Source organism: Homo sapiens, chromosome 1, assembly GCF_000001405.40.
Source record: "Homo sapiens chromosome 1, GRCh38.p14 Primary Assembly".
NCBI lineage: Eukaryota > Metazoa > Chordata > Mammalia > Primates > Hominidae > Homo > Homo sapiens.
In genome coordinates, this window is record NC_000001.11 from 119,937,768 (window position 1) to 119,950,385 (window position 12,618).

The 12,618-nt window shown below is 37.3% G+C and overlaps 1 protein-coding gene across 2 annotated transcripts in view, besides 1 other annotated feature; it reads right to left on the reverse strand.

Moving 5' to 3' along the window:
• NOTCH2 (notch receptor 2) overlaps positions 1 to 12,618 on the reverse strand; it is a 158,110-nt gene that overhangs the window by 26,215 nt on the left and 119,277 nt on the right. For both annotated transcript variants that reach the window (NM_024408.4, NM_001200001.2), the window contains exons 16-20: positions 11,240 to 11,359; positions 10,647 to 10,799; positions 3,759 to 3,987; positions 2,788 to 2,989; positions 90 to 243 (exon numbers count right to left, since the gene is read on the reverse strand). In NM_024408.4, coding sequence (NP_077719.2) covers positions 90 to 243; positions 2,788 to 2,989; positions 3,759 to 3,987; positions 10,647 to 10,799; positions 11,240 to 11,359 — 858 coding nt within the window. The remainder of the gene's footprint in view (positions 1 to 89; positions 244 to 2,787; positions 2,990 to 3,758; positions 3,988 to 10,646; positions 10,800 to 11,239; positions 11,360 to 12,618) is intronic.
• Positions 10,899 to 11,193: an enhancer, noted in NCBI's record as "tiled regions #11377 and #13297 (exact overlaps); K562 Activating DNase matched - State 12:CtcfO". NCBI's record gives its function as "activates a minimal TATA promoter and a strong SV40 promoter by Sharpr-MPRA in K562 cells {active_cell/tissue: K562}" and the evidence as "EXISTENCE:reporter gene assay evidence [ECO:0000049][PMID:27701403]".

Sequence of the window (12,618 nt, forward strand, 5' to 3'; positions counted from 1 at the left end):
TATTCCACAAAAAAATGATACCTTCTCTAAATGCCACTGGACAGTCAATACTGCAGTGAATGACCTGAGCCCAAGGGAGCAAAGCTTACCTCTCCTGGAGGCTGCTATGTCACAAGAGACATTGGGCACGTCACAATAGGCACCAGCCCATCCAGATGGACATAGGCACTGGGACTCTGCTTTTTTCTGAACGCAAGTACCTTTGTTTTTACATGGAGACCGACTGCAGAGATTCACCAGGGTCTGAAACAGAGGCAGGGGTGTACATACATCAAAATTCAAATACTAGAAATGAAGAAAAGAAGTTATATTGTGTTACAAGAAATCAAAGAAAAGCAAACTGATTAAAAAGAAAAAGAGCCTTCATCTAGTAAAAGAGCCCTTAAACTAGATTCAGTGTTCCGAGGTACACCTAACCATTTTTACGTACCGTTAAGTCTTCACTTAATGTCATCATTAGGTTCTTGGAAACTGTGACTTTAAGGACAACGATATATAACGAAACCAATTTTACCACAGTCTAATTGATATAAAAAAGAGTTAAGTTCCTCTACTTATTTCTGGTTAAAAAAAAAATCACTAAACTTCAAATTAACACCCACTTCTGATATTAAACATTAAAATAAACAAGCTATACATTCATTTAAGAAATATTAATAAAAACAAGATAATTATTTATCCAATTTTTGGTGAATCCATGAGTAATAGCAGTCCTAGTGGTGGCAGGTCAAGTCAAGGAATAAATGTTTGCAAAGCAAAACCGTCAGCACCTCTTACCACCACACAGCTCAGAAAGCAACACTAACCAATATGGCAGGCTTGCTGGGTGGTTTTGTACCACATTGTTTATTGTTGTGCACTCATATGATTATCATAGGCTTTATGGGTTTTCATTTTATAATAATTGGTATATTCATTCTTTTTTTTTTTTGAGACGGAGTCTCACTCTGTTGCCCAGGCTGGAGTGCAGTGGCGCTATCTCCGCTAACTGCAAGCTCTGCTTCCCAGGTTCACGCCATTCTCCTGCCTCAGCCTCCCGAGTAGCTGGGACTACAGGCACCCGCTACCACACCCGGCTAATTTTTTGTATTTTTAGTAGAGGCGGGGTTTCACCGTGTTAGCCAGGACGGTCTCGATCTCCTGACCTCGTGATCCACCTGCCTCGGCCTCCCAAAGTGCTGGGATTACAGGTGTGAGCCACCGTGCCCGGCCCCATTCATTTATTTTCTAACTCACTTACTCCAGTTCAGGTTCATGAGTGGCCAGAGCCTATTCTGGCACAATGGGACAATGTAGACATGTCCACTTCACCCAACATACATGACTTTGAGTTGTGGAAAGAAACTGGAGTCCCTGGAGAAAACCCACACAGACATGGGGAGAACATGCAAACCCCACACAGATAGCAGCTCTGGCCAAAAACAGATTTTTCCCCCACTCAATGTTGTAACAAAATGACACCGAAGGAAACAAAGTTACTTGAGGGCCTGCTGTAGTCTAATTCCTCTTAGGTCTTCTATTTAAAAAGTTCTTACCAAAAAAGTTTAAAAATTCAGGGAAACCCAACAGGTTAAGCTATTCCCAATGCTCTAGACATGATTTGCCTACATGTATAGCCACCCTGTAATGCTAGAAAGAAAGAGTTAAAGCTGTCAGACAGGTTCATACTTTCTGTGCTAATCCTGTGTGAGAAATCCACATGGGTCTTGACCAAATCTATCTTTGGTGAATATGGGTAAAAGGACTTAATGCCTGTTAATAAGCCTAAAACCGTTTAAGAGCTTATTTCTAAGGAAGGCAATCAGACTTATGAAAAATCTGAAGCAAAGAGTGCACAAGGACTGGCACCTTTCATCTTAATTCACACACGGAGTGGCTTGGCCCCTTGAGGAGAGGAAGGCCAAATTCACAATATAGACAGTTTGCTGGAGGAAGGGAGGAGTGCTTCACCAGCACTGCCAATCTACACTGTGAGAACAAATAGGAGCCCAACCAAAAATGCTCTCGTGATCCATGGAATCAGCAACAAGCTGCTTAATTTTGTGGAGGTGGGTGCTCACATGTCTAATATAGCCTAAGCCTTACTTAAGTGCGCCCTGTAAGTCAAGTTAAGTTTGGCCATTTATTCCTATGTTCTTTGGAGTTATTATTCTATCACTATTAAAGAGGTAGAATAACATTAAATTAAACACAGGGCTGTTTGGTATGCAACTTTGGAAAAGTTACTTTGCCCCTCTGGGGCTGTTTCGCCTTCCATGAAATCGAAGGTTAGATTAGTTGCCTATAAGGGCTCTTTCCATTCTAAAATTTAATGGAAGTGTGTATTTACATATTTGAACTTAAAAGATATGTAAATTGTTTGGTTTTGAGAATGTTACCACATTGCAAGATACAACAATTATCATTATTAAACACTTAGATGTTGCATCTGACCTTTAAAAGGTTATTTTGATTATTCTCTATTTTCTTCAGTTCTTTTTGTGCTTCCAATGTAAAAAACAAAAAAACAAAAAACAAAAAACAAAAATCTGTGTTTATTTCCCACATGTATTTTTCTGCAGTTCTTGGTTAGCCTCTTTTCAAGATCTTATGTTTGTGAATCTATATCATATTGCCAGCACCATTTTGGAATCTGCAAGTTATTAAGAAGTTACCTAGATTATCTCAGGGAATCCCTGAGATCCACAATTTTCTCTTTTAGAAGGAACTTATTCAGACTAGAAAGTGAACAGGTATAATATTCAGCTGCTCTAGGGGAGCTGAGTGAATGGGAAGGAAGTCAATTACCTGACAGTTTTTCCCAGTGTAGCCCAGGGGGCAGCTGCAGCGGTAGGTACCCAGGCCATCAACACACGTTCCCTCATTCAGGCATGGATGAGAGCTGCATTCATTGATCTCATGGAGGCAGAAGGATCCAGTGAAACCCACAGGGCACAAGCAAGAGAAGGAGTTAATCCCATCAACACATGTGCCACCATTGAAACAGGAGCTAAGAAGCAAACAGAGCAACATCAGCTATGTATCTGGTGCCTGTGACTTACTACTACAAAGTAAGATTTCTGGAATCTAAGATCATACAGAGGCAAATACCTCTGAGCAACCCATATCCCTTAAACTTTCTTACAAGCTAGATTGGGTGCCAGAAGCTCTGAGGTGCCCACTTCCTTTCTATAATCAAAGGCTTAGAAGTATTTAAAAGACTGAGCTTACTATAGATACCTACAGAAAATGAAGTTTTCTAGGTTTTACCCAGTCCTTCTGTAGTTTTCCCATGTATCACATTTCATTTTATCTCTAAGTCAATTTAATTTATTTGAAAAGTCCTATTCACTATAGATTATTTATAAAAGACAAATAGAACAAACATGCTCATAATATTATAAAAAGAAATGAAACAAAACTCCCAGAAATTACTTAAAGACTAGTAACAATTCCAATCTCTGCAGAAAAACTGGAATTTTTGGATTTTTGAAATGAATGAGAGGCCAAGGGAAGAACAGAACAAAATTATAGCTCTTTCTGTTCCCTAAGCAAGAAATAATAAACCATCCCTATAAACTTTGCAACCTCTGACCTTTAACTTTCTATTATATATGTTTATCAGGAACCAGTAACCGGGCAATAGGAGATGACTGTGGACTGGGATCCATGTGGACACCTCATCCCTGCTCCACAATTCTAGCATTGTGCTCTGAAATTTCCTTCCCTTTCTCCCTTTCTCTCGTAAGATGCTGATGCCCGAGGGACTGGTTGCTCACCTCTCAGTGCACTCATTGATGTTGTTCTCACAATGGACTCCATCAAATCCTGCCTGGCACTTGCAAGTGTAACTGTTGACGTAGTCAGAGCAGGTCCCTCCATTCTTACAGGGTTCACTCAGACACTCATTCATGTCTGTCTGGCACTTATCCCCAGTGAAACCCGGAAGGCAGAGGCAGGAGAAAGTATTCACTCCATCCATACAGGAACCTCCATTCTGGCAAGGATCTAAGCCATTACAAAAGAATTAGACCTCTGAAGAGTAGCATCAGTTTAATCTTAGATTCATAAAAGTGAATGACCTGAACTAAGTCATGCTGGGGGCAGCATAATTCTGACTTTTTCATTCAATTTTGCCAACTCCCTCATTTATGAAAATGAATTCAATAATACTTGCTTGAAGTTTTTAACCTGTTTATTAATTGGAATAAACTTCATCTATGTCACCACCAACAGTTTTGTAAAATTAATAGTCATAAAACTTGCATTGGTCCCTCACACATTTGGAAATCAAATATGTGCCCCAATACACAGAATATCAATCAATATTTTCAAAAGGTATATGTGATTGTGGAGTGTGTGGGGGAGGACAAAATACACATATTCATGTTTTTCCAGGCATATTAATTATATAATCTTCTCTCTCCCTTTCATTTCCATCTCCTCTCTCTCTCTTTTTCTCTCTCTTTTAGATTTCAGTAGCCTTATGAAACACAGTTTAAATAAAAATTGAAATATCACATAGCTTGATCTTGGAACACTTTATACTCATAGTAAGGAACCAACAAATTTTAAGCTACAGTCATGCCACGGCACTCTACAATTATATGCCATACAAATCAGAACAAGAAAAATAAGCTGTAGCTATGGCTCTTAAGGAACTTAAAAATATAATTGCAAAGACAGGTCATACATGTAAAATGAAAACTAAATACTAAACTAAAGGGTAATGTGACCTTTATTTTATTAGCGAAACATTTAATATACTTTATTCATCTCTTGAACTAATTCCCTTATAAGACTCATCTGCAATCTCTATTAAAGCAATTGTAAAAATTGTTTCAGTTTTTCTTAACCACAGTACACAGCTACTATAATTTCCATAGCATCTTTCAGGAAACTCACCATCCATAATTTACTGAATTATTTTAAACTCATTGTAAATATTGTTGGTCCCACTTCATACAGAAAAATTTAAAAATACTCAATATTTTGAATGACATGTTACTTAATGTGAGAAAGGAATACAAACAGCTTGATCTCACTCCCTAAAGTTCTCCATCAATTGTGCCTTGGATACTTTTTCACTATTTGTAATACATCATTAAAATTATTTGTCCATATGTCTTTTTTTTTTTTTTTTTTTGGTGAAGTCTCACTCTGTTGCCCCGGCTGGAGTGCAGTGGCACAATCTTGGCTCACTGCAACCTCCGCCTCCCGGGTTCAAGAGATTCTCGTGCATCAGCCTCCCGAGTAGCTGGAATTACAGGTGCCTGCCACCACGCCTGGCTAATTTTTGTATTTTTAGTACAGACCAGGTTTCACCATGTGGCCAGGCTGGTCTTGAACTGTGTCTATATGTCTTTCTTCCCTAACAGACTATGAGCTTCATGAAAATAGAAACTAAAACTTATTTATCTTATCACTGCCGGCACCTAGCATGGTGGCCTCTATATGATAATCTGAAGTTATATATCCTGTAAATTAAGGTGCCATTATTAATGCATTGTGATAATCTCATTTGAAGTTAAATCACTATACAAGTAACTAAGGATCGGTCAGTACATACATGTAATAAAACTATTAAGGCTGGGGGAAGAACCACCAGAAAGAAGTAGGCAGAATAATCCCTAGAGGTTTCACTGGGCTGAGAACAGCTCATGTTTATTCAATAAGAATGAAAAAAACCACGTGGCAGTAAGTAGAGTCCTGAGGGACCCCTGTTGTAGTAGTGAGCCATATTAGCCCTCAACTAAAGACTATTTTGGAACCAATTAACAAACCTTGAAGTAAGACTCTGAAGGATTGAACTATGTCCAAATAATTGAATATTTGAACAAAGCTCAAAAATGTTTTTTTAAAAAAGATTTTTAAAAAAATTCAGCATGGAACAATGTAAGATGGATGTCTAGCATCCAGTAAAAAGTTACCAGGCAGGCAAAGAAGCAGGAAATACATTCAAAATGAGTAGAAAAAATATGAACAGAAACATACTCAGGAATTTCTCATATGGTAGAAAAGTAGGTAAGGACAATAAAATATGGTCAATTATTATCAACTAGAAAACAACGATACTCAATATATTCAAGAAGGAAATAAAAGCATGAACATGACAAAGAGGGAGGTAACGTTAAAAGAAAGACTTGAATTAAACTTCCACATATAAAAACATAATATCTGAGGGAAAAATATACTAAATGAGATGAACAGTAAACGAGAAACTATAGAGGAAACAATTAGTAAACTTGAAAGTATAACAAAATAACTTCAAATAGTAAAATAATCCAAAATAAAACACTAAGTGGAAAAAACACTGAAAAATAAATAAATCAACCTTGCAGCCTAATAAATGCATAATGAACATTATAAAAGGGAGACGCAAAAACTTTTGAAAAAAATAATGGCTAAATATTTACCAAATAATGGTTAAAATATTTTCCAGACTTGGACCCATAACCAAAAATATCAGTAAACTCCAAACAGAAGAAACATAAAGAACACTACACCAGGCTAGGCATGGTGGCTCACGCTGTAATCCCAGCACTTTGGGAGGTCCAGGTGGACGGATAACAAGATCAGGAGATCAAGACCACCCTGGCTAACACGGTGAAACCCCATCTCTACTAAAAATACAAAAAATCAGCCGGGCGTGGTGGCGGGCACCTGTAGTCCCAGCTACTTGGCAGGCTGAGGCAGAAGAATGGCGCAAACCCAGGAGGCGGAGCTTGCATTGAGCCAAGTTCACGCCACTGCACTCCAGCCTGGGCGACAGAGCGAGACTCAGTCTAAAAAAAAAAAAAAAAAAAAAAGACCACCACACCAACAGGCATTATAATCAAGTTGGTAAAAATCAGTGGAAAGAGGATATCTTAAAAGCAGCCACAGGAGAGAGAATTATATATGAAGGAACAGATAAAAGAATTGTGGAATAACAGCAGATTTCTCCTCAGAAATAATGCAAGGAAGAAGATAATAGGATAGCTTTAAAGTGCTGAAAGAGAAAGTCAATTTAGAATTCTCCTCCCTGTGAAAATATCTTTGAAAACTAAAGCAAAATAAAAACCTTTCTGACACACAAAAACAGAAAGACTTCATCACCAGGAGACAAAGACTACACAAAATATTCAAGGGATTTTTTCAGACAGAAGGAAAATGATACCTGATGGAAACACAAATCTACATAAAAGAATAAAGACCAATAAGACTTGAAAATACGTAGGTAACTTAAAGACTTTTAAATTATTTTTCAAATATCTTGAAAAAAATTGACCTTTTAATTACATATTTGATGGGTTTAATGCTATATACATTTTATAACAACAATAGAAGAGAGGCCAGGAGGAATGTAAATGTGAGTGTACAGCTCTTCTCCTCTATATGAAGTGGTACGATTGAAGGTACATTATAATAAGTTAAAGCTGCACACCAGTAAACCCTACAATAACTACTAAAAAATATGTAACCAATATGGTAGTGAATATAGATAAAGTTTTGAAATTTATGTATGTAGATAAAATGTAATCATAAAAATACTCAATTATTTCAAAAGATGTCAGAAAAAGGAAAATGGAAACAATACACAGAAGAACAAAGATAAAGCAAACAGCAAGATGGCATATTTTGAAGCCAGCCATATAAAAACTACATTAAATTTAAACAGTCTAAATACCTGAATTAAAAGATAGACACCATCATACTGGAGAAAAAAAGACAAGACCCAATATACGCTCTCTACAAGAAACCCATTTTAGAGAAACAGGCCAGAAGTAAAAGGATTTTTAAAAACACACTCTAATAATAAAATAAAGCTAGAGTAGCTATATCAGTATCAGGCAAAGTAGACTTCAGAGAGAGAAATATGACAAGAGTTTAAAAAGGCCATTTCAAAATGATAAATGGGTCAATTCCTCAAAAGGACATAAGAACCCTAAATGTTTATGCACTTAAGATTAGAGTTTCAAAATTCATTAAGCCAAAACAAATAGAATTACTAGAGAAACAGATGAATATACAATGATAGTAAAAGATTTCAATACTCTTGAATAAGAAGTAAACAGAAAGCCTCCTTATTATATTCTATGAATAATAAGTAGACAGAAAGTCATAGAGGACATAAAAGACCTGAATAACACTACCCTATCCAATTTGAATTAATAACATTTATAGAACACTGTATGAAAAAAATCTGCAAAACAGACATTCTTCCCTTTCAAAGAAAGAAGAGACAAATTACCAATAGTAGAAACAAGAGAAGGAAACCATCACAGATCTAATAGACTATTAAAGCACAGTAAGGAAATGTTATAAAACAAATTGATGTTATGTCAACAAATTTGACAAAACAGGTGAATTGGACTAATTCTTTGAAAGACAGATATTACCAAAGCTCAATTAAAAACAGATAGCCCATATGGCACTTATATGTATTAGGAAAACCAAACTTGTAGTTAAAAACTTTCCCAGAAAGAAGGTTCCATGTCTATATATTTGGAAGAAAACACACCAGTTCTACACAAACTCTCCCAGAAAGTAGAAAGAAAAACACTTCCTGATATGTTCTATGAGGACAGCATTGCCCTCTTATCACAACCAGACAATGGTAGTCCAAGAAACCTGGAGAACAATATCCTTCATGAACACAGATATAGAAATCCTTAACAACATTTTGGCAAATCAAATCCAATAATACATAAAAGGAATAACACATAATGACCAAGTGGAATATAGCCCATAAATTTAAGATTAGCTTTTAACATTTGCAAAATGTTAAATAAAGTTGATGACAATTTACTTACATTAAAAGACCAAAAAATAATATCACCATGTCAACAGATGTAGAGAAATCAATTGCACACCAAAAAATCAACATTCATTCATTATAAAAATACAAAAAGACCTCTTAAAAACCAGAAGTACAAGGTCTCTCAATTTGATAAAGGGCCTTTATGAAAACCTATAGGTAACATCTCACTTAATGGTAAAAGACTACATACTTTTCCCCTAGGATCAAAAACAAGGTAAGGCTTCTCTCACCACTTCTATTCTGTATTTATTGAAGATCTTAGTACAATAATACTAAAATAAATAAAAGGCATACAGGGTTGAAAAGAAATTAAAAGGCATAAGGGTTATTTATAGACAGGATGATTGTATCTGTAGAAAATCCTAAGAATCTAAACTATCTAGAGGCTAACCTACGAACCTACAACTAATAAGAAGTTAGTTTAGTACAGTAAGAAAACAAAATTAAACTTGACTTTTAAGTCACACAATATGTAAAAATTAACTCAAAACAAATCATAGGCCAAAATGTAAGAGCTAAAATTACACAACTTTTAGAAGAAACCACAGTAGATAAACCTCAAATTTGGATTAGGTGAAGATTTGTTAAACAAGATACATGAAGCATGAACTATAAAGGAAAAACATGCATACACTGAATTTCATCAATGTTAACATTTTCCTCTTCAAAAGAAAATCAAAAGAGAAGCTATAAATTGGAGGGAAATCATTGGGAAGCAAATACCTGTCAAAGAATTCTTATTTAAAAATACAAAGAACTCTTTCAACTCAAGAAGACAACCTAATTATTTCAAATGGGCAAAAAATTTAAATAGACATTTCACCAACGAAGATAGGCAGATGGGCAAAGCACACGAAATGATGCTTAACATCATTGGCAGAGAGAATAATACAAATTAAAATCACAATGAAATACCACTCTACACCCACTAGAAGAGCTAAATTTAAATGATATCACCAAGAGTTTGTGAGCATATGGTTCAAACAGAACTTTCATACAATTCTGGTGAGAATGAAAATAGTACAACCACCTTGGAAAACATTCTGGCAATTTCTTAAAAAGTGAAACATACACTTACGACATGATTCACCGATTCTACTCCTAGGTATTTACTCAAGAGAACTAAAACCATATGTCCACACAAAGACTCATTCATAGCAACTTCATTTGTAATATCCCCAAATTGGAAAACACCCAAATGGCCATCAACCAATGAACTGTAATATGTCCATACAATGGAATACTGCAGAACAATAAACTAGAATGTACTATTGATATAAACAACATGGACGGATCTCAAATACTATGTTCATTAAAACAAGTCAGAACCTCTCCTGACTTATGCTTATCTAACTGCATTTATATAAAATGATAAAATCTGCCAACTAATAATCTATAGTGACAGAAGGTAAAACTGTGACTCCACAGGCAAGAAAGAGAGAAGGTTAAATTGCAATGGGATGAAGATAGTTTTAGGGTGACAAATATGTTTATTATTTTGGGTGATAGTTTCACTTACTATATGTCAAAATGTGCCAAATTGTACACTGAAAATATTTGCAGTTTAATGTACCTTAATTATACCTCAATAAATCTGTTTTTTAAAAAACACTATCATAGCATTGTCCTCACATTTTCAATGTTCACAAATTAAAGGGAATGCTTAAAATATATTCCACTGCCTCAATTCCCAAGGACACTAGCTTCAAAAGAAAGAGTTAAAACACTACTGTTAAATATGCTGGATAAATGACCGGTATGCCCAATGTCAGGCGTGAAAGGCGGCAGCCTCCACTGGGCTCTCCTCTGCTCCCTGTGTGTTTTCCTCTCCTCTGGGGGCTTAAGAGCTGACTGGCATACTCACTGGCAAGGCAGTCATCAATGTCCTCCTCACAGTCCATACCACTGAAGCCTGGTGGACATTCACACATGTAGCTGCCCTGGGTGTTATGGCAGAGACCATGGTTCATGCAGGGCTTGGAGATACACTCGTCAATGTCAATGGTACACCGCTGACCTAGGAACACAGGGCCAATAAATGACCTAGTCCTTGGAAGCTGATTCCCACAAAAATCTACGCAGGACCTGAGCTTAGTTGGGGTGCATGGAGCTATTCCACAGACAAACTGGTTGGCCCCCTGCTTTAGGAAGTTCCAGGAAGACTTCTGTGGCCTAGGAAGTTGCTGCCAAGGTGCTTAAACTCCCTGAAGAATGAACATCATGGCTTGTGAGGCTTAGGTTGCAGCCTTCCAGCCGCTAGGGGGCCCCGAAGACAAGGACAATGGAAAGGCTTTCTAAGCCATTTCAAGTAGCAGCTCCTTTGCAAAACCTGTGTGCTCTTGACAAGATGGACAGGCCTCATAAGACCAGCAGGGCCTTCCATATGATCTGATAACCTGACCACTTTGTTTAAAGTCAGAATGCATGTTCTTGGCTTCTCCACACCCATGTTCTTACCTTGCCAGCCAGGAGCACACAAGCAAGTATAACTCTCAAAATTTGGTGACTCTTTGCAAACAGCAGCATTCTCACAAGGGTTTGGGGAACAGGGAGCCAATACTGTCTGACAATTCTTGCCTAGAAAGTAAATGACAGAGTTTATGACAGATAAACAGGTAAGAAAACGAAAATTTTCCTTATCCCAAGGATGTTCTCTGAATTCAAGTCAAAAGTCCTGATTAAGAGGCTTTGAAAATGGAGAAGCCCATGATCTTTCCAGCATTGGCTCTGATATTGTTAACTGTGTAACCTTGGGCAAGATAGTTAGGGACCTCCTACAACTGTGATTTTATGAACTAGGCCTGTTAAATGTAGTTTCCCTACACTACTATTTCTTTTTTTTTTTTTTTTTTTTTGAGACGGAGTCTCACTCTGACTCTCAGGCTGGAGTGCAGTGATGCGATCTCGGCTCACTGCAACCTCCACCTCCCAGGTTCATGCCATTCTCCTGCCTCCGCCTCCCGAGTAGCTGGGACTACAGGCACCCACCACGACGCCCGGCTAATTTTTTATATTTTTAGTAGAGACGGGGTTTCACCATGTTAGCCAGGATGGCTGTGATCTCCTGACCTCGTGATCCGCCTGCCTCGGCCTCCCAAAGTGCTGGGATTACAGGGTGAGCCACCGTGCCTGGCCTACTATTTCTTCTAGAGGGGAAAAAGTAACAATGTGCTATCAAGTCTTTCAGGTAACACAGTCATGCTATGGCTATTCTGCTACTCTACACAACTTAGAGTCACTATTAACAGCTGCTATTAACAGCTCAAGACTCCAGGGAAGTAATAACTCAGCCATGCTCCTGACTGCATGCCGCAACCTGATGAAACAGGCAAAGTTATTGTCTATGTTTGTGTTTTGTTCCCTCTGAATGAGAAAAATAGATGAAGAGGAGATAAACAAGCCATAGAAATATAACCAATCACAAGAAGGCGATAATAAGCCAGTAGAAAACAAAGAATAAATGTCCCAAGCACACTCCAAACATAACAACTGAAACAAAGAACAGCTATGTGACATGCAGTCACACTCACGTCTTCTCAGTTGTAACAGCCATCGAAGGGGTGACACCTCTGAGTGAGATGTAGCGGTACTGAATGTGGGAAGTAAAAAGGCCATTAAGAGGAAAAGCTTCAGATTCAAAGAGACCTACAGGTAAATCCTAGATGTACTACTTACCTATATGACCTTGAGCAAGCAAGCTCCCTTTGCCTCAGCCTCCTCATGTGTAAAATGGCAATAGGAACTTCTACATTGTAGAATTATTGAGGAATACATTAAATAATCCAAAGTACAAAAAGTGTCTGGCACATAGTAAATTACCAATAAGTGGTAGCTGT